Source organism: Homo sapiens, chromosome 9, assembly GCF_000001405.40.
Source record: "Homo sapiens chromosome 9, GRCh38.p14 Primary Assembly".
Taxonomy (NCBI): domain Eukaryota; kingdom Metazoa; phylum Chordata; class Mammalia; order Primates; family Hominidae; genus Homo; species Homo sapiens.
Window position 1 is genome coordinate 73,057,185 of NC_000009.12, and position 22,511 is coordinate 73,079,695.

At 37.5% G+C, this 22,511-nt stretch overlaps 1 annotated feature.

Moving 5' to 3' along the window:
* Positions 8,998 to 10,197: an enhancer, noted in NCBI's record as "MED14-independent group 3 enhancer chr9:75681098-75682297 (GRCh37/hg19 assembly coordinates)". NCBI's record gives its function as "activates an origin of replication core promoter dependent on BRD2, BRD4, P300/CBP and CDK7 cofactors, and independent of MED14, by STARR-seq in HCT116 cells {active_cell/tissue: HCT116}" and the evidence as "EXISTENCE:reporter gene assay evidence [ECO:0000049][PMID:35650434]".

Below are 22,511 nucleotides of genomic sequence, written 5' to 3' on the forward strand. Positions count from 1 at the left end.
TACATATTTTATATATATATATATAATTAATAGCTTACCAGGACTGCAAAATAACAGAATACCAGAGGCTAGGTAGCATAAACAACAGAAATTTACTTTCTCACGGTTCTCGAGGTAGAAAGTGCAAGATCAAGGTGCCAGCTGACTTGGTTTCTCCTGAGGCCTCCCTCCTTGGCTTGCAGATGGCTGCCTTTTCACTGTGTCCTCACAGGGCCTTTTCTTTTTGTGCACACATCCCTGGGGTCTCTCCCTCTTTATATAAGAACAATAGTCATAATGTATTAAGGCCCCACCCTAAGAGTCTCATTTTAACTTCATTATTCCTTTTTAAAATTTTTTTATTTTTATTTATTGATTTATTTTATTTTTTTTGAGAGGGAGTCTCACTCTGTTGCCCAGGCTGGAGTGCAATGGCACGATCTCGGCTCACTGCAACCTCCGCCTCCCGGATTCAAGTGATTCTCCTGCCTCAGCCTCCTGAGTAGCTGGGACTACAGGCGTGTGCCACCACACCTGGCTAATTTTTGTATTTTTAGTAGAGATGGTGTTTCACCATGTTGGTCAGGCTAGTCTTGAACTCCTGACCTCGTGATCCACCCGCCTCGGCCTCCCAAAGTGCTGGGATTACAGGCATGAGCCACTTCACCTGGCCAAGTTCATTATTCTTTAAAGACCTTATCTCCAAATACAGTCACATTCTGAAGTACTAAAAGTTGGGATGTCAACCCATCAATTTCAGAGTCGGGGGGGTGGGGGACAAAATTGAGCCCATAATAGCAAGTTACGAGAATAAAACTGGCTGCTGATTTTTAAAAATGCTTTTAAATGTAAGATTCAGCACTAAGTATATGCTTTATTAATTGAATTTGTTAACGAGCTAAGGCATGTAAGTGAACTTAAAATGGGCAGTGAAAGAACTAGTATTTCAGATTGAGGGTTTGAGGTGGAGTTGCATTATAAAGGATGTGCAATACAAGCTGGGAGGTAAGAGAACATCTGGGGTCTAATTCAACTGGGGAGAACAGTGAGAGAGATGTGGCTCTCTAGATAATGATGATCTTGGCCAAGATGTGACAATGGAAGTAGAGAACTTTTAAGCAATTCACAGACATTGAAAATTAAAGTCAGTGCCAGGTGCGGTGGCTCACGCCTGTAATCCCAGCACTTTGGGAGGCTGAGGTGGGTGGATCACGAGGTCAAGAGATCGAGACCATCTTGGCCAACACAGTGAAACCCTGTCTCTACTAAAAATACAACAATTAGCTGGGCTTGGTGGTGCATGCCTGTAGTCCCAGCTACTTGGGAGGCTGAGGCAGAAGAATCCCTTGAACCTGGGAGGCGGAGGTTGCAGTGAGCCGAGATCGCGCCATTGCACCCCAGCCTGGTGACAGAATGAGACTCCATCTCAAAAAAAAAAAAAGGAAAGAAAATTAAAGTCAATACTTAGTCTTTTTTTCAAATATAAATAAATTCAACATTCTCCTTGTGAACAGACAATTGAATTGCTTGTGCTTCTCTAAGAGCTTTTGAAATTATTTATATTACCCTCATGGCGTTGTGTCAAAATGAAACTATTCTTATATTTTTACCATAAGAAACTTGTCAAATTTTCTGTATACTCAAGAAAAATGGGAATGATTAGAAACTGTGAAAAGCTTGGTATCTATTTATCTGATATTTTCTTGAAAGAATTGCATTTTTCTAACCACTTTATTAAAAAAATAAGCAAAGCTTATACTTTCAACACCTTGTATTATAAAATGCTATTTTGCACTCTTCCTCTGCTCCTAAGGCATAATTAAATAGTATACTATTGGGCTTTTTGTATAATTTATGTTTGTATTTTATGTATCTTTAGAAACAAGGATGAGAATAAAACTGGGGAAAGAAAGTGTGAAAGCAAAATAAGAATAGCTTTTCTTTGTCATTTAATATGTAATGATAAGTTCATTTTAATTATGTGTATTTGCTTATCCTAAAGCAATAATTTGTTTCATGAAATATGTAATCAGAAACAACATAGTATAACTCTCTATCTATCTATCTATCTATATATATATAAACTTGTACTAACAAAGACACATTGAATAATAATCTGGAAACTACTCACAGAAATCATTATGACTATAGAGAAGTTGATAATATATGGATATATGCATCCACTGGGAATTCAAGATGAGTGAGGTCTTAGAGGCAACATGTATGAAGTACAAAAGCAGAGTTATAGGAATTAAATACCCTGCTTCATACAAGTATATGCAGACACTTACATCTCCCAGGCCTCCTTGTAGCCACAGTCCCTGGGGGTTCTTGGTAACGTTATAAAGACAAAGATCAGTCTGGAAACATTATCCACTCCATGATGCAAATGAGTGCAGGATGTGCCTGGTCTCAAGTCTTTTACAGAAGAAAACTTGCACCCAAAATTTAAAAGAACAGGATCGCCTGCTACATTGTAATTCTCTAATTTATTCCCAGTTAAACCTATAATTCAGATGAAATATCAACCCATAATAACACAAGAAGAAATCTGAACTATTTTAAAGAAAGGCAGAAGGGGTCTTTGGGGATTTTACTATCTACATAATTATTAATTAGGCTGTGAAATCTGTCCTGGTTTGCAGATGGTTCCAGGACTCTGGAAGTGTAGATACACAATTTGATATTTCAGATTCACATGGGACCTCCTCACAAAATTCAAGTCATGCTTTAAATAAACAAATACAAAAATCCTATGCTACATGCACTTTAAATCAGAAATAGCTAAAGGGAGTTGTTTTTACGGCTTAACAAGCTATAAAAAGAAATTCCCTGTGAGGAATACCTCCATTGCATTTCTCTTTAGATAAACAAAAAAATGCAGGATGCAGTCAACATATTTTCTATTGTTAACACTGGAAGAGCCAAAATACATAAAAAAATAAAAGTTTATAGGTCTTTTATCCTTCAAGGTGTTTCCAGAGAATAGTGTACTTCCATTCAGTTTTACTATCAGGCCCCACAAACTGTAAATTCTGCACACAAAAGTGTTGTTTTTATCTGCTCTCCCTGTGTACTGATGCATGGTGCATGAATACATTTCCCAGCATAGTGAGATGATCAACTTACAAAACATTCATTTTAACGGCTTTTAAAAGTCTTTCTGAGTTTCTGATGTTTTAAGATTCCTTTATTAAACATAATTTTCTCTTTTCCAGATATTATAGTGTCATTCATTTCTATATGGTACTGCGCTGGGGTGTAATCATTTGATGATCTCTTGATTACATCCTCCATCCCTGCCCCAATACCTGGTTCCATTCATTATTTTAAGGCTGATCTCTACCACCTGGCAAGCTCCCCAAATGCAGGGGCCAAGTCTGTTTTGCTTCCTATTGTATCCCCAGTGTCTAGCACTATTTGAAGTATGTAATACACATTTAATTGGATTGAACTGGCTACAAGGAGGCCGAACATTCAATCCATTCACATTGGTTTGAATGTTCAGTGAATGATGGAATTAATTAATGATTAAGTGAGTGGATCTAGTGAGAGAACAGGAAGAGCTTTAGCAAAAAGGAAGTGTCTAAGAATATCTGGTAAAGATAGTATTTCTGATATCTCTGCTCACATTTTAATTTCTACTGTGTTGCTTACAACTCCTCGGCTTAAAAATCTGTTCAGTCTTCTCACACTTTTTTAATCTACAAGGTCCAAGGTCCAAGTCTCATCAAAGAAGCTCTTAATTTTTTAAAAATGTTTTTTGTTATTATTATTTTAGAGATGGGATCTCACTTTGTCACCTCGGCTGGAGTGCTGTGGCACAATTATAGCTCACTGCAGCCTCACAGTCTTGGACTTAAGTGATCCTACTGCCTCAGCCTCCCAAGGAGCTGAGACTACAGGTGTGTGCCACTACACCCAGCTATTTTATTTTTATTTTTTGTAGAGGCAGTGTCTCGCTATGTTGCCCAAGCTGATCTCAAGCTCCTGGCCTCAAGTGATGCCCTCACCTCAGCCTCCTGGGGATTACAAGTGCACGCTACTGCTCCGGGCTCTCTCTCTCTTCCTTTCATTTTTATGGCACATTTTAATGGAAATTAGCCCCCATGTGTCTTTCCAGAACCATAATCAAAGTATGTCCTTGGTATTTAGGAAGCTTTCCAAAGCCAACATCTCAAGTGCATTCCAAAATGTCACTGAACTTTTTCCTCTCTTCCCATTGCATCTTGCCAACACAAATGCATGGGTAGCTGACAGTGTCATCGGCTCCACCAGAAACATTGTTGTCTGATGGCATCTGCCATGTCTTCTGTCCATTCTGATGAAGAGAAGGATCCCTGTTCTCTCCCTGGACTGTTTGTATATAAGCATGTGTATTGGGATTTACCCATTTTTCAAGACTGTAACTGAGATTTAGCTGTGATTTTGAAGAAAATTTACTTGAAGGTTTGGGGCTATTGGAAAGGATGACTCCAGAAAAATTAAAAAGTTCTATAGCCTACTGCTTAAGCACAGACTCTTCCCAGACTGCATCCTGGAACAGTTCCTTGCATTCTTTTCTCCCTGTGGATAGGTCCCCCCACCCACTCCCTACCCTGACCAATCCAATCTGCATTAGAGCTGTTCACTCCAACTTATGAACACCTTGAGGCTGGTAAAATAAAGAAGCAAAGGAGCCTTCTCTCAGCCCCAGAGAACTGTCTCTTCTGGCCCTTGTCCTGGGCAGAACTCTGAATCTTCACTTCCTAACCTAGGATTATCTAGGACTCATAGAGGGAAAGTCTGATCCTATAATCTCAACAGACATTCATATTATTAGTTTCCAAAATGTGAGATATTCATTTTTATTTATCATCATCTTGTTGTGCCAAAATTAGATAAGCAAGCATTCGTCTTGATTTGTTCTGGTTCTCTCAAGCTATTGCTATTTCCTTTCACTGCCAGAGATCGAGTCCCTAACAGCATACTCTGTGTGTCAGGCAATATAGTAGATATTTCTGAATTATTAATTTTGACACAAACCATGAAACAGGCATTAGTACTAATCTTTTTTTTTGAGATAGAGTCTCATTCTGTCATCTAGGCTGAAGTACAGCGGCACCATCTCAGCTCATGGCAACCTCTGCCTCCCAGGTTCAAGCGTTTCTCCTGCCTCAGCCTCCTGAGTAGCTGGAACTACAGGCATGTGCCACCACACCTGGGTAATTTTTGTGTTTTTAGTAGAGATGGGGTTTCACCATGTTGGCCAGGCTGGTCTCGAACTCCTGAGCTCAAGTGATCCACCCGCCTCAGGCTCCCAAGATGCTGGGATTATAGGCATGAGCCACCACGCCCGGCCTAGTATAAACTTTTTGCAGAAAAAGAGGCTCAGAAAGATGAATATGCCCAAGATACTCTTCAGGTAAGGCTTACTGCAGCGTTAAAATCTACATCAAACTCAACTCAAAACTTATGTAGTTTCCATAATGGCAATGGTTTCAACAGTATATGCCTTAATTTAAAAGAAATTCTGGCAGCATCTCAAAATATAAAGTTGTGTTTGTAGTATGTTCCAAAGTTATTCCATTCAGAAAATCAATTTCAGGTAGGTTAAAGACCTCCATAAGAAAAGTCAAACCTTAGATATTTAGAAGAATAAAGAAAAATTTCTTAAACAAGATACTGAAAATGCAATCCATAAGAAAACAATTCATTTTCTACATTGAAATGGTAAATTTCCGCTAAAAAAGGCATAATAGACAAAAGCTAAAGAAGCCATAGAGTGAAAAACGACATTTGGAACACATAGAGTAGACAGAGGAGTAGTATCCAGAATTAAGAAGACTTTATTCAACTTAATAAGGAAAAAGTCACCGATCTCCATCCCAATAAATGGGAAAGGCTTATAAATAGGTGAAAATATGAAGGGCCAACAAGCATAAAAAGGTACCTACCTCAGTAATAATCAGTGACATACATATTAAAGCAACCTAAAATATTGTTTTGCACATAGTAGGTTGGCGAACAATCTACAATTTACAAATAGGTCAATACAAATAGTGCTAAGTATTTGGAGAAATGAGAACTTACATTCACTCTGATTGGGTATGTAAATATGAAGAAATATTTGAAAAAGTTTAATAAACTTGAAGATTACTTGCTTGAGATTTAGCAATTCCATTAGAGAAATCCTCACACATATGCAGAAGAAGGCATGCATTATCCATTCCAGCTTTTTTTAAAAGTGAAAAACTAGAAACAACCCAATGCTCATAAATAAGATGCTAGATATACATAATTATGTTGTAGTCATACAATAGAATTCAGTAGTATAAACAAGTATGCTAGTGTTACATAAATCAACATGAATACATTGCTGAAACATTCAGTAAAAAAGCAAATTGCAGAAGTACATATGGAGCAAGATATAATATTTATATATATATATTTTTTTTTGAGACAGAATCTTTCTCTTGTCGCTCAGGCTGGAGTGCAGTTGCACGATCTTGGCTCACTGCAACCTCTGCCTTCTGGGTTCAAGCGATTCTCCTCCCTCAGCCTCCTGAGTAGCTGGGATTACAAGTGCCCGCCACCACGCCCAGCTTTTTTGTACTTTTAGTAGAGACAGGGTTTTGCCATTTTGGCCAGGCTGGTCTCGAACTCCTGATCTCAGGCAATCCGCCCACCTCAGCCTCCCAAAGTGCTGGGATTACAGGCGTGAGTCACCGTGCCCGGCCTACATAAATTTTTTTAACACACGAAAAATCATGCTGTATTTTGTATGGACATATTCAAGTGTTTATACTATGGGAATAAATGCTTACATGAGGATGAGAAACACAAAATCCAGTATTCTGTGGAGAAAGGATTTAAGATAGGGAAGGTATCACAGAGTTTCAATGATATAATATATAATTTCATAGAACTTGATTATGAGTTGAAGGTTGTTCATCACGTTTTTTATTCTAGTTTTCTCTATGTTTGAAATATTCCAAACTAAAATTTAAAACTGAAGTGTGATACATGCATGCAGATGGTTAATATTTCCTGCTATTTAATGATTGTTGTGGAAGTTTACTTTTTGGAATGAAGGGATAATATATTACAAATAGCAAGTGTAAAATACTGCATGTATACTTTCATTGATTTTGTTAAAAATATAGGAAAAGAGAAAGATGTGGCAATGTGCTGTAAATAGAATGCTGACAAAACTATGAATTTTTCAAAAAACGTAATACTATAAGTACAGTACTGTATGTAGAGCATAAGCTTAATACAGAGCATATTGTGTTTATTTAAGATTATACATTCCCTTCACGTCTGTGAACTCATGTAAATGGTAAAGAAATGTTTAAGGGTGGCAAGTATCTGTCATAAAGCTGGTAGAGCTGGTCTAGAGGGAGAGTGAATCCTCAGACTCTCAGACTAGACAACCGAACTGTGAGTTGAAACTGCAGGATATAGAAGTTTTGCATTAATTAAATGAAAACAAAAGCTGGCAACTGAGAATACAGGAAGACAAAAAACTGTAAGTATAAAACCTTAGATGTCTGAGATTATTCATTGATTCATCAAGAAACTCTGCATACATACAAAACACTTTTATTTCATGTTAATGAGTGTTTTCAGGGCCCTAGTCTAAGCCAGGCACTTTAGGTGCCAAGCATAAAAAAAAATGACTCAAATATTATCCCTAAGTTGCAAAACTCCTTAGAGTAGACATATATAATGATAATACAATTATATATATATATATATATGCATTTATATACACAGATACCTGTACATAATGTGTATATATAGTCATAAAGTTACATACACATATTTTAGTTGTTCTAAGACTGGTCATAAATATTCAAGCTTCCTCCTACCCTCCTTACACATAAAAATGGGGTATGCATCTGAAAATTGCTTTGCAATAACCTCTTTTTGTAAAACAGACCCTGACATTGATACAGTAGGGCTGGGCTCCTGCCTGAACCCCACCCTTAAGCCTGGAACCTCGGCCCTAAGTGAAAACAACTGACCCCATTTTTCCACCCAAATGTTGCCTTTTTGGCCTGCCCCACCCCTATCCTGTGCCCATAAAAGACTTCAGCTGGCAGAGCAACACAAGCAACTGAGCATCAAGGATACAAGCAGCTGAGTGGCGAGCAGAGAAGCAACTGAGCATCAGAGACAACAGATAAACGTGGCTAACTTCAGGCAGTGCAGCTTCGGAGATGGGCCCAGCCGGAGATGGCTGGGTTTAAGGGAAAGATCACCTTCCCATTCCCTTTCCAGCCTTCCTTTCCACTGAAAGCCACCCACCGCTCAATAAAGTCTTCTGCATTAATCACCTTTCAGTTTGTGTGACCTGATTCTTCCTGGATGCCGGACAAGAACCTGGGCGCCAAGAAGACGGAGGCTGCCACTGTGACCTTCCACTGAGCTGGTTGACACTTGGCAGTCCCCAGACTGCAGAGCTGAAAGAGCATTGGTTGTAACATGGTTTGACACCGTTGTGGGGCCCACACAGAGCCTGCCCCCTCCAGAGAGGAGTGACTAGCCAGTTCTAGAGTTCATTCACTCTGGTTCCCTCATTCCCTTGCTCGCATGCTTCCTCCTGCAAGGAGTGGCCAGTGGCAGCCTGAGTGAAATGAGCCACTTCAGTTCCTGCTGGTGAAGGGGTTCAAGGGAATTATACCATCTCAACATGATGGATGCTTTTTCTTTGATAAGCATATTTGTATAGCTCTACCAATTTACCTCTTTGCACAGAAGGTCACTTTTCTAGAGTCTTCATTCCTTGACTCCTCCATGCCAACTTCACCTAGCTTACACTATGTCCTAGCATTCCATACTTGCAGTCCTCACTGGGCCTCAGTGTGCCTCTTACTGTTCTGCCCAGCATTTTGACTTTCATCTATATGTTTAGCATTGCTAAAGGCTTTTGCCATCTGAATCGGTGAAAACAGGGTAGTTTAGAAATCCAGCAGATTAGGAAGAGAGTTTAACACATTTGAAAGGCAGAATGTCACCTATTGTCCTAGCAGTACTTAGTTAAGTGACTTAAATGTAAAGTCATTGAACATGTACTGGATAATTCATGACCATTTAAAATATTTATTGATTGGCAATCTACTTCACTAGGCCTTTGTGGGTCATAGAATAGTATTGCTTGTAAAGACTTTCGAAAGGTAAAATTGCTATGGGCAGTGAAGTGATTTAGAAGATGATATCTCTTGATTTAACAATCGATATGGTTTGAATGTGTGTCTCCTCCAAATCTCATGTTGAAACGTAATCCTCAGTGTTGGAGGTGGAGCCTGGTGGGAGGTGTTTGTGTCACCTCTCATGAGGTGATCTCTCATGAATAGCTTGGTGCCATTTACTTGGTGATGATGAGAGCTGGTTGTTGAAAGGAGCTTGCAAGAGAGGGGATTAAGACGGTGGATAGGAGGCAGGACTAGCTTGCAGCTCCCTCTCAGATGGACACACCGGTGTGTGGAGACTCATATCATGGACTTTTGCTCCAAAAACTACTGCAGGAACATAGCAGCAAAGCTAAGAGAATCCACAGACCTTCTGAAGGAACTGGATCACTGCTGGAGGCTGCGTGAGACACTGAAAAACTGTGAGTCGGCTTGCTTTCTCAACAGGGAGGCGGTGGTCTGGAGCAAGTTCTCAGCTCTGGTAACTGGCTGCCTGGAAATAGACTCAGTGCTGTTGGGGGGCACAGTGGGAGTGAGACTGGCCTTTAGGACTGTGGGCTGTGTCGGAACAGAGTGAGACCTGTGACTACCGGCTTTTTCCGACTTCCTTGGTGACATACATGACTCAGCAGAGGCAGCCATAATTCCCATGGGAATATAACTCCATTGGCCTGGGAATCACACCCCCATTCCCCACAGCAGCCACAGCAAGCCCTGCCCAAGGAAAGGCTGAGCTCAGACACACCTATCTCTTCCCCTACCTGGTAGTCTTTCTCTAGCCACCCTGGTAGCTGAAGACAAAAGTCATAATCTGGAGCTCTATGGCTCTGCCCACTGCCTGAGAAACCTGAATACTTAACCAGGTGTTCCTAGGGCAAGTCTGCATCCTCCCTGTAGGACCACAGCTGATACACTCTTGAAAGCGCCACCTCCTGGCTGGAGGCTAACCAACACAAAACCAGTGCACTAAACAAAAACACGACACAAACTCAGAGTCCACTTCACTCCCCTGCTACCTCCATCAGAGCAGGTACTGGTATCCAGGGCTGCAACACCTGAAGACACATCACATCACAGGACTCTTTGCAGATACTCTCCAGTAACAGCCTGGAGCCCAGTAGCTCAACTGGTTGGCTAGAACCAGAAGAGCAAAAAGAATCACTGTAGTTTGGCTCCTAGGAAGCCACATCCCTTGAGGAAGGGGGAGAACACCACATAGAGGGAGCATACTGTGGGACAAAAGAATCTGAACAGCAGCCCTTGAATCCCAGATCTTCCCTCTGACATATCCTATCCCAGACTATGAGAAGGAACCAGAAAAACAATTCTGGTAATATGACAAAACAAGTTTCTTTAATACACCCCCAAGAGATCATACCAGCTCACCAGCAATGGATCCCAACCAAGATGAAATCTCTGAATTGTCAAAGAAAGAATCAAGGAAGCACCAGAGAAAGGCAAAGTCGAACTTAAAGAAATAAAAAGCATGATACAGGATATGAAAGGAAAAGTCTTCACTGAAATAGTATAAATAAAAGCAACCATAACTTCTGGTCAAGGAGACACTTAGAGAAATGTAAAATGCACTGGAAAACCTCAGAAATAGAACCAAACAAGCAGAAGAACCTCAGAGCTCGAACATAAGGCTTTTGAATTAACCCAATCCATCAAAGACAAAGAAAAAAGAATTTTAAAAAATGAACAAAGCCTCCAGGAATTTTGGGACTATGTTAAATGTCCAAACCTAAGAATAATTGGTGTTCCTGAGGAAGATGAGATGTCTAAAAGTCTGGAAAACATATTTAAGGGGATAACCAAGGAAAACTTTCCCAGCCTTGCTAGAGATCTAAACATCCAAATACAAGAAGCTCCAAGAACACCTGGGAAACTAATCACAAAAAGATCATTGCTTAGGCACATAGTCATCAGGATATCTAAAGTCAAGATAAAGGAAAGAATCTTAAGAGCTGTGAGGCGAAAGTATCAGGTAACCTAAAAAGAAAAATCTATCAGATTAACAGCAGATTTCTCAGCAGAAACCCTAAAAGATAGAAGGGACTGTGGTCCTCTTTTTAGCCTCCTTAAACAAAACAATTATCAGCCACGAATTTTGTATACAGTGAAACTAAACGTCGTAAATGAAGGAAAGATACAGTCTTTTTCTAGAAAAACAAATACTGAGAAAATGTGCCACTACAAGAACTGTTAAAAGGAGCTCTAAATCTTGAAACAAATCCTCAAAATACATCAAAATAGAACCTCCTCAAGGCATAAATCTCATAGGACCTATATAACAATGATGCAGTCAAAAAAACCAAGGTATTCTGGCAGCAAATAATATGATGAATAGAATAGTACTTCACATCTCAATACCAACTCTGAATGTAAATGGCCTAAATGCTCCACTTAAAAGATACAGAACCGCAGAATGGATAAGAATTCACCAATTAAGTTTCTGCTGTCTTCAGAAGACTCACCTAACACATAAAGGGCTCACATAAACTTAAGGTAAACGGGTGGAAAGAGATATTCCATGCAAATGGACAGCAAAAGTGAGCAGGAGTAGCTATTCTTAGACAAAACAAACTTTAAAGCAACAGCAGTTAAAAAGACAAAGAGGGACATTATATAATGATAAAAGGACTAGTCCAACAGAAAAATATCACAATTCTAAATATATACGCACTTAATACAGGAGCTCCCAAATTTATACAACAATTACTACTAGACCTAAGAGATGAAATAGATGGCAACACAATAGTAGTGGGGGACTTCAATACTCCACTGACAGCACTAGACAGGTCATTAAGATAGAAAGTCAACAAAGAAACAATGGAATTAAACTATATCCTAGAGCAAATGGACTTAACAGATACTTATAGAACATTCTACCCAACAACTGCAGAATATACATTCTATTCACCAGCACATGGAACATTCTGTAAGATAAACCATATGGTAGGCCACAAAACCAGTCTCAGTAAATTTAAGAAGATCAAAATTATATCAAGTATTCTCTTAGACCACAGTAAAATAAAATTGGAAATCAATTCCAAAAGGAATCCTCAATGCCATACAAGTATATGGAAATTAAATAACCTGCTCCTAAATGACCATTGGGTCAACAAGAAAATCAAGATGGAAATTAAAAAATTGTTTGAACTGAATGATGGTAGTGACACCACCTATCAAAACCTCCGTGATACAGCAAAAGCGGTGTTAACAGGAAAGTTCATAGCATTAAATGCCTACATCAGAAAGTCTGAAAAAGCACAAATAGACAATCTAAGGTCACACCTCACAGAACTGGAGAAAGAAGAACAATCCAAACCCAAACCCACAAGAAGAAAAGAAACAACAAAGATCAGAGCAGGACTAAATTAAATTGAAACAACAACAAAATAAAATACAAAAGACAAACAAAACAAAAAGCTGGTTCTTTGAAAAGATAAATAAAATTGATTTACCATTAGCAAGATTAACCAAGAAAAGAAGAGAGATGATCCAAATAAGCTCAATTAGAAAGGAAATGGGAGATATTACAACTAATACCACAGAAATACAAAAGATTATTCAAGACTACTATGAACACCTTTATGCACATAAACTAGAAAACTTAGAGGAGATGAAAAGTTCCTGGAAATATACAACCCTCCTAGATTAAACCAGGAAGATATAGAATCTCCGAGCAGACCAATAACAAGCATTAAGATTGGAATGGTAATAAAAAAATTGCCAACAAAAAAAGTCCAAGACCAGATGGATTCACAGCTGAATTCTATCAGACACTCAAAGAGGAATTGGTACAAATCCTATTGATACTATTCCAGAAGACAGACAAAAAGGGAATCCTTCCTAAATCATTCTATGAAACCAGTATCATCCTCATACCAAAACCAGGAAAGGACATAACAAAATAAGAAAACTACAGGCCAATATCCATGATTATAATAGATGCAAAAATCCTCAACAAAATGCTAACAAACTAAATCCAAAAGCATATCAAAAAGATAATCAACCATGATCAAATGGGTTTCATACCAGAGCTGCAGGGAAAATTTAACATAGGTAAATCAATAAATGAGATACACCACAGAAACCGAATTAAAAACAAAAATCACATGATCATCTCAATAGACACAAACAATCATTTGACAAAATCCAGCATCCCTTTATGACTAACACCCTCAGCAAAATTGGCATAGTAGTGACATATCTTGAGGTCATAAAAGTCGTCTATGACAAACCCACAGCCAACATTATACTGAATGGGGAAATGTTGAAAGCATTCCCCCTTAGAACTGGAACAAGACAAGGATGCCCATTGTCACCACTTCTATTCGACATAGTGCTGAGGTCCTAGCCAGAGCAATCAGACAAGAGAAAGAAAAAAACGGGCATCCAAATTGGTAAAGAGAAGTCAAACTGTTGCTGTTTGCTGATTATATGATCATATACCTATAAAGCCCTAAAGACTCATCTGAAAAGCTCCTAGAACTGGTAAATGAATTTAGCAAAGTTTCAGGATACAAAATTAGTGTACACAAATCAGTAGTTCTGCTATACACCAAGAGCAACCAAGCTGAGAGTCAAATCAAGAACTCAACCCCTTTCACAATAGCTGCACAAAAAATAAAATACTTAGGAATATACCCAACCAAGGATGTGAAAGACAGCTACAAGGAAAACTATGAAACACTACTGAAAGAAATCATAGACGACACAAACAAATGGAAACACATCTCATGCTCATGGATGGGTAGAATCGATATTGCAAAAATGACCATACTGCCAAAAGCAATCTACAGATTCAATACAATCCCTATCAAAATATCAATATCATTCCTCACAGAACTAGAAAAAAGCATCGTAAAATTCATATGGAACCAAAAAAGAGCCCGCATAGCCAAAGCAAGACTAAGCAAAAAGAACAAATCTGGAGACATCACATTACTCGACTTCAAACTACACTATAAGGCCATAGGCACCAAATAGCATAGTACTGGCGTAAAAATAGGCACACAGACCAATATAATAGAATAGAGAACCCAGAAATAAACCCAAATACTTATATTCAACAGGACTTCGACAAAGCAAACAAAAACATAAAGTGGGAAATGGACACCCTATTCAACAAATGCTGCTGGGATAATTGGCAAGCCACATGTAGAAGAATGAAACTGGATCCTCGTTTCTCACTCTATTCAAAAATCAAGATGGATCAAAGACTTATATCTAAGACCTGAAGCCATAATGATTCTAGAAGATGAGGTTGGAAAAAAAACCTTCTGGACATTGGCTTAGGCAAAGACTTCATGACCAAGAACCCAAAAGCAAATGCAACTAAAAGAAAAATAAATAGATGGGACTTAATTAAACTAAAAAGCTCTGTACAGCAAAAGAAATAATCAGCAGATTTAACAGACAACCCACAGAGTGAGAGAAAATCTTCACAATCTATACACCTGACAAAGGACTAATATCCAGAATCTACAAAGAACTCAAACCAATCAGCAAGAAAAAACAAACAATCCCATCAAAAAGTGGGCTAAAAAACATGAATAGACAATTCTCAAAAGAAGATATGGAAAAATGTTCAACATCACTAATTATCAGGGAAATGCAAATCAAAACCACAATGTAATACCACTTCACTCCTGCAAGAATGGCCATAATTAAAAAATCAAAAAATGATAGCTGTTAGTGGGGATGCAGTGAAAAGGGAACACTTTTATACTGTTGGTGGGAATGTAAACTAGTACAACCATCATGGAAAACGGTGTGGAGGTTCCTTAAATAACTAAAAGTAGATCTACCATTTGATCCAGCAATCCCACTACTGAGTATCTACCCAGAGGGAAGGAAGTAATTATATGAAAAAGATATTGCACACACATGTTTATAACAGCACAATTTGCAATTGCAAAAACATGGAACTAGCCCAAATGCCAATCTATCAATGAGCGGATAAAGAAAATGTGATACACAGACAGACACCACACACAAACACACACACACACACACACACACACACACCATGGAATACTACTCAGCCATAGAAAGGAATGAAATAATGACATTTGCAGCCACCTGGATGGAATTGGAAGCTTATTCTAAATGAAATAAATCAGGAATAGAAAATCAAACATCATATGTTCTCACTCATCTGTGGGAGCTAAGCTATGAGGAAGCAAAGGCATAAGAATGATACATTGGACTTTGGGGACTCAGGGGGAAAAGTTGGGGGTGGCGAGGGATAACAGACTACATGTTGGGTACAGTGTACGCTGCTCAGGTGATGAGTGCACCAAAATCTCAGAAATCACCACTAAAGAACTTATTCATGTAACCAAACACAACCTGTCCCCCCAAAACCTGTTGAGTTAGAAAATAAATAAATCAAAAATAAATAAATAAAAATACACATTAAAAAATAAAAAAAAAAGAGGAGCTTGCCACCTCCTCCTTGCTCTCTCTTGCTCTCTCTCGTCATGTGATGCACCAGCTTCCCTTTCACCTTCAGCCATGATTGTAAGCTTCCTGAGACCCTCACCAGGAGGAGAGGCAGATGCCATGCTTTCTGTACACCCTGCAGAACTGTGAGCAAATTAAATCTCTTTTATTTACAAATTAAATAAAAGAATTTTGTAGTCTTAGATATTCCTTTATAGCAATGCAAACAGACTAATACAGCAATATTCTTAGTTTACATAATGGAATCAAGTACATGAAAACTATTATTTGAAGCAGGTATAATATTAGCCTTTGGCTTTGAGATAAGAACCAAAGATGTTGTTTTTCCTAGGCTATTGGACAACATATATATGAAGTCCATTATCCTATAAATAGAAAGTTGCTGTTTGCATTTTAGTTATAAATTTTTATAAATGATTTCCTCTAAGGAAAATTAACTTGCTCACTTCTCCTACTTATTGCTTCCAGCTCTGTACTACACACACACACATCTGTGTTGGGAATCTTTTTATTAAAATATAACATACATACAGAAAAGCATACAAAACATAACTATATAGCTTGATGAATTTTTACAAGCTGAGAACTACCAGCATCCCAGAACCCCCTGTCCTCTGATTCCCCTTACAGTCTCTGGTTTCTGTGCTCCAAAGACAGCCATTATCCTGACCTCCAATGCCCATAGTTTAGCTTGTTTTTTAATTGTATATAAAGGGAAGTAAACAACACATGCTGTTTGTGCCTGACTTCTTTTGTGCCACACTGCATTTGAAGATTCGTCCATGTTGTGTTTGCAAGACCTGTTTCCATGTTGCATAGTTGCACTTCATTTATTCTCATTGTTGTAGAGTGTTCCGTTAGGTGAATATAGCAGTTTATGAGTTTGTTCTGCTACTAGTAATCACTTAGTTTCTAGTTTGGTTCTGTTATGAATAGTGCTGCTTGGGCATTCTTGTGCACATTTTTTGGTGAACATTCTTTGGTACACATTTCTGTTGACCATATAAACCTAAGACTGGAACCGCTGAGTCACGAACATTCATTTGTTTAATTTTTGAACTGCCAGCTAGTTTTTCAGCGTTGTTGTACCAATTTACACTCCTACCAGTGCCATAAAAGAGCTCTCTGGTTGTTCCACACCTTCTTCAACATGTGATATTTTCTGTCTTTCCCATTTTAGCCACTTTGATGGAAAACATATCCTTATTAAAGACACAGATCATGAAAAACATCCCTGACCTGATACCTTAAGTGAACTCAATTTTGGCAATGTTAGCTAGTTTATTCTTTCTTAATGACATGCATCTGGGACAGATTGAGTGCATTCATCCACTGAAGTCCTTCAAAAGTTAATGATCTCCCATTCTTCCCCACCTCCTACCAAATACAAATGATATTAGCTCACAGTTACCATGGCCCCCTGAGAAAGCTGTTATACCAGTACTTCTTTTTCATAGTTTCTTTCAGTAGAGATGCTATGGGATTTTCTCCATTAATCAGATCAAACCCTACATTTAAAATACATTTCAGTTATTACAATGTCTACATTTTGTTCATAATTTAAGAGTCATCTAAGAGTAGTGACTTATGTTTATCTTGTGGCATGCCACTTTTATGTTTTCCAGAATCCTATTTTTCATTGCCATGATTGGACTGAAAAACAGGATGTTTTTTTCTATCGACTCACATTTCTAAAATTCCTTCTTGGTCAAAAGTGCAAGTCTGTTGACCCTTTCAACTTTTGTTTGAAAGGGACATTTTTGAGTTCTTATTAATTATTTTTCATTGCCTTTGTGTTTCTTTTGCTCTGTTTTACTCTGTATCTTTTCGAATGAGTACCATTCTGCTTTTTATCTACTTATTTTTAAAATAAAGAATTGGAGTGATTTTTCATGCTTTTCTAGAAGTATCATTTCATTAGAAAGATAATTCTAGACAATAAAAGCTTGAGTGCTAATTGTAAAATAGTTTTATTGATAAAATTTGTAATTTCTCTTTCTGTTGCTTATACAGTTTGATAATCCTATGAATTCTACAGAAGGAATTCACATGTAATGATCCTTTAATAACTAGTGCCCGAGAAAAATAAACTTATTCTACAATTAATTTAATTTTCAACACTTTAAATATCTTTAAATTTGTTTCTTCGTTTTGTTTCTGGTATCTTTTGCCTTGCAGAAATATGTAACTTTAAAAGAGCCAAATATATCTAGCTTTTCCTTTATGGTTTCTGTGATTTCTGTCATACTTGGGAATATCTTTCCCATCTCAAATTTACACAAGTAAACTTCTAAATTTTCTTTCAATATTTTTCTTAGAGCAAGGATTCATTTTTCTTCTACATGGATAATCAAACATACAAGCATCGTTTATTAAATTAGACATTCTCACTAAGTTCAATTAAAATCCTATAACTACTAAATCTTTCTATGGATGCTCAGGCATATTTGACTAATGTGTTTACCTATTCCTGTGCTAAAATTATACACTTACCTTTGATTACAGTTACTCCATAGTTATTTTAGTATCTGGAAGTCTCCTACTTTGCCTTCTTGTTATTATTCAGTATTCATAAATTTCTTGACTATTTCTAGAGATATATTTTTTCACATACATTCTAGAATCACTTTATATTGTTCAACAGAAAAGCTTATTAAGATTGTAATTTAAGTTGCATAACATTTCTATAATAATATTAGAAGTAGTGACATTTCTATAATAGTAGTATCATTAGGAATATTTTATGTACTTCATTTGGATTTTATAAATTAACTTTTATATAAATCTTATGCTACTCTTGCTATATTTAAGTCTAAGAATTTTCACTTTTAGTCCCTATTATAGATGAATCTTTCTTTTTTTTCTTTTGCTTCAACCTTGCTATTGACAGAGAAAAAGTTACTGATTTTCTTAAGGTATACAAAGTTAATTCTAAGGCTTTTCAAGAGCTACTGGAAAGAGACGGAGACATCTTTATTCCTGGAAGAGAGATTTTGGCAAACATCCTGTCATGAGGAATCTGAGAATCACACAACATGAAGGAAAGTAGAATCTAAGGATGGAGATATGGCAGGTTCTGGAGCTATTATTTGAACTCCTAGAATAAGCCATATTTGAAACCATTACCAGTTATCCTTTACATTATTCCCTATGTTCATTTAATTTACGTAGGTTTAGGCCAGGAAGAGTGAGTGGCCCATGCTTGTAATCCCAGCACTTTGGGAGGCTGAGGTGGGCAGATCACCTGAGGTCAGGAGTTCAAGACTGGCCTGGCAAACATGGTGAAACCCCATCTCTACAAAAAAAAAAAAAATTAGCTGGGTGTGGCGGTATGTGCCTATAATACCAGCTACTCAGGAGGCTGAGGCAGGAGAATCACTTGAACCTGGAAGGCAGAGATTGCAGTGAGCCGAGATCGTACCATTGCACTCCAGCCTAGGCAACAAGAGCAAAACTCCATCTCAAAGAAAAAAAAAAATTAAGTTGGTTTAAATAGGTCTTATTCTTCATTGTTTACCAAATCAGATGGTGTGGAAATTTGAATTTGGCTTCCCCAGATAATTCTTATGCTAGTAATCTTCAGAAAAAATACCAGGATCAATACACTCTATTACTATCATGAAAATATAATGAAAAATAATTTAATGGTATAGAGTTGACCATAGGAGAGTTGCTTCAATGTTATCACAGATGTATAGGATAAAGCTGAAATTGCTTCATTAAAGAGCTGAATTTTAATAGTTACTGATATAATAAAAGTATAGGAGCCTCTAAATACAAAACTATAAAAATGAAATGAAGTAATTGTGTGAAAGGAAGATGAAGAACATTTATTCTATTGCTTGCGAAATATAAATATATCAAATTTATTTATATATCAAATTTACATAATATGGATTTGATATATTTATATTTCTCTTCAAATGGAGAACTTAGAAATTCACTAGGCAATCATTACTTTATTCAAGGCAATTTTATGAATTAAACAAGATGCTAATTATACTATCAATAGCATAACTGTGCTTTTTGACTCAAAGAAAATATAACTTGAACCCACAATGATGTGAAGTTTCTTCTATATAGATCTTTGTTTATCCTGCTGATTTGTTTCCTCATTATTGGCTTCTTAAGAAATCGTTGCTCAACTCTGATTTTGTGTTTCAGCTTTGAGTCACATTGAGACCAATGAACATCTTTCAAGTATTTGATTATATTTGTGATTATATGTAGGGAACTTCTTTTCTTCCTGTTGAAAAATGATTGGGACTCAAATAACAGTAGTACTGACCATGTATCACTCAGTGTGCCATAACATAAATTCTGCATCATTGGTCAATTCATTTATTCAATCTTTTATTTCACTCCACACCCATATGGGGTGACTATGATGCAGACATGTTTATATACACAGCAGAAACATCACTGGAAAAAAACAGACAAAAGTTCTTGCTCTCATGGAACTTAGATTCTGACAAAGAAAGATATCAAATAAACCTTAAACAAATATAAATACACTACAGATATATAAATTATGTAAAGTGGTGGTAAGTGCTGTGAAGTAATGTGTAGTAGAGTAGGGGGGATAGAGAATGATAGTGGAGAAGGGGAAGGATGCTCTTTCATATGAGAGTCAGGAAAATCTCTGATAAGGTGACATCTATTCATGGAGTTGTAGTGAAGGAGAAATCAAAATGGATATCTAAGGGAAACACCTTCCAGGCAAGTAAGACCCTGAGACAAGAATATTCTAAGTATATTCAAGGAATAGCAAGAAGGTCTAAAGGGCAGGATATGATATTCATTTTAAAAGTTTGCTCTGTTTGCATATGAGAATAGATTGTAGAAAGGCAAGTGTAAAAGGCTATTACACACTTGCAAGATGTTTACTGAGAGATGACATTCAGTTTAGTTTGCTGGCATGGATCAGGATTTAGAAAAGAGAATGAACCTGGAGGGACAATTTGAAGATATTCAGAATGACTCTGCAGATTTTTCTTGAGTAGCTAGAACTATATGAAGATCAGGTGTGTGTGTGTGGGTGTGGGTGTTTGCATGTGTGTGTGTGTGTGTGTGTGAGAGAGTGTGTGTTGAAAAGGGGTAGACTAAAATAAATCAAAGTCCAGTTTCAGATAGCAGAAATTTAAGATGGCAACTTGACAGTAGATGTAAGCCAAAAAATGTATAAGTCAGGTGTATCCAGGAGATGTTGGGACTGAAGATATAATTTTAGGAATTTTTTAAGCATATAGTTGGTATTTAAATACTTGGAATCAGATGAAGTCACCTACACAAGGAGTACTGGTGGAGAAGAGTTTATGAAAATAAAGAGAAATCAGCAAAGGGGACAGCAAATAATTTTTTTTCCAAAAAGAAAGGGAGTCATTAGCTATATCAAAAGCTGTTAATAACTGAAGCAAGATGATTATGGAGAAATGACACTGAATTTTTCAGTGTAGAAGTCATTAATGGCCTTGACAAGATCAGTGTATGAAAAAAATTTTGTGTTTCAGTGGGCAACTAAACATAGTCTGACAACTCTTTTAGGGTATCAAATTCTACCCCTGCTCATTGTCTTTGAGCTGTTTTGCAAATCTTTGTAAGTGGTAGGTAATTGATAAACAAATTCTGACTTGTCTGTTAGTGACATTAATTGACTTTCTGTGTCCAGTTTGGTAGTGATCTAAATGAATGTGGAAAAATCAGTTTTGTCTGCATTTCCAATTAATTTCAACATTCTGTGCTCTAGATAAATTAGCGCTGTTTGACTTTTCCTTTGAATCAGTTATAACATCTCCGTGGCTCCCTCATATTATGTAAGTAAAATTATTTAACACATGTTCATTTTCATATCTGAATGAGGGTTATGATTTCACCTTTTTCTGAAAATTATCTTTTTAGCATTAACGTTGGTGTGGTGATGTAGGCAAAAGACTGGCTCAGAGGTACTTGACAGAAAATGGAAAATGGGGTCAAAATGGTTGATTTGATATTCAGAAAAACCTTTTTTGGTAAAGCACATTGAAAAATCTCAACACAATTTAACAATTTTTTAAATTATGGTAGGAAAGTAAAAATAAGGGAATCTAGAAGCTTGATATAAGAAGGCAATCCAGGCCTGGCGTGGTGGCTCATGCCTGCAATCTCAGAACTTTGGGAGGCGGAGGTGGACGGATCACTTGAGGCTAGGAGTTTGAGATCAGCCTGGCCAACATGGCAAAACCCTGTCTCTACTAAAAATACAATTATTAGCCAGGTGTGGTGGTGCACGCCTATAATCTCAGCTACTTGGGAGGCTGAGGCACAAGAATCGCTTGAACCGGGAGGCGGAGGTTGCAGTGAGCAGAGATTGCACCACTGCATTCCAGCCTGGGCGATAGAGTGACACTCTTTCACAAAAATAAATAAATAAATAAATATAAAATAAGAAGGCAATCCAGAGGAGTGAGTGAGTACTGGATCTGCTAATGTGAGGGGTCATGAGCTCTTGGGACAGGAAACAAAGCTTGAGACTAGAGCTCTGGTAGGATCCACAGCATAATGCCGGGAGCAGCAAAATCTCAAGGGAAAAACCTGACTTTGCTTTAAAATGGAGATGTCTGAAATACTTGTCTGTCCTGAACTTAGCTCTAGATAAGCTAGAATAAAAGAACAATTATCTGCTGAGAATTTCTAACCACAAGGTGGCACACACCTTGTTTGTTGAAGAACTGAGGTACAGCAAGGTGTGGCTAGAACACTGAACCAAAGGAATTGTGGTATGACCTTAGTTAGGTCTTGGCTGTCATCTCCTTGTTACCCTAACATAAAAGGTTGTGAACAATAACTTCTCTATGTCACTGGATAATTCAGCCATGAGGCTCTCTCTTGATTCACATCATAAAA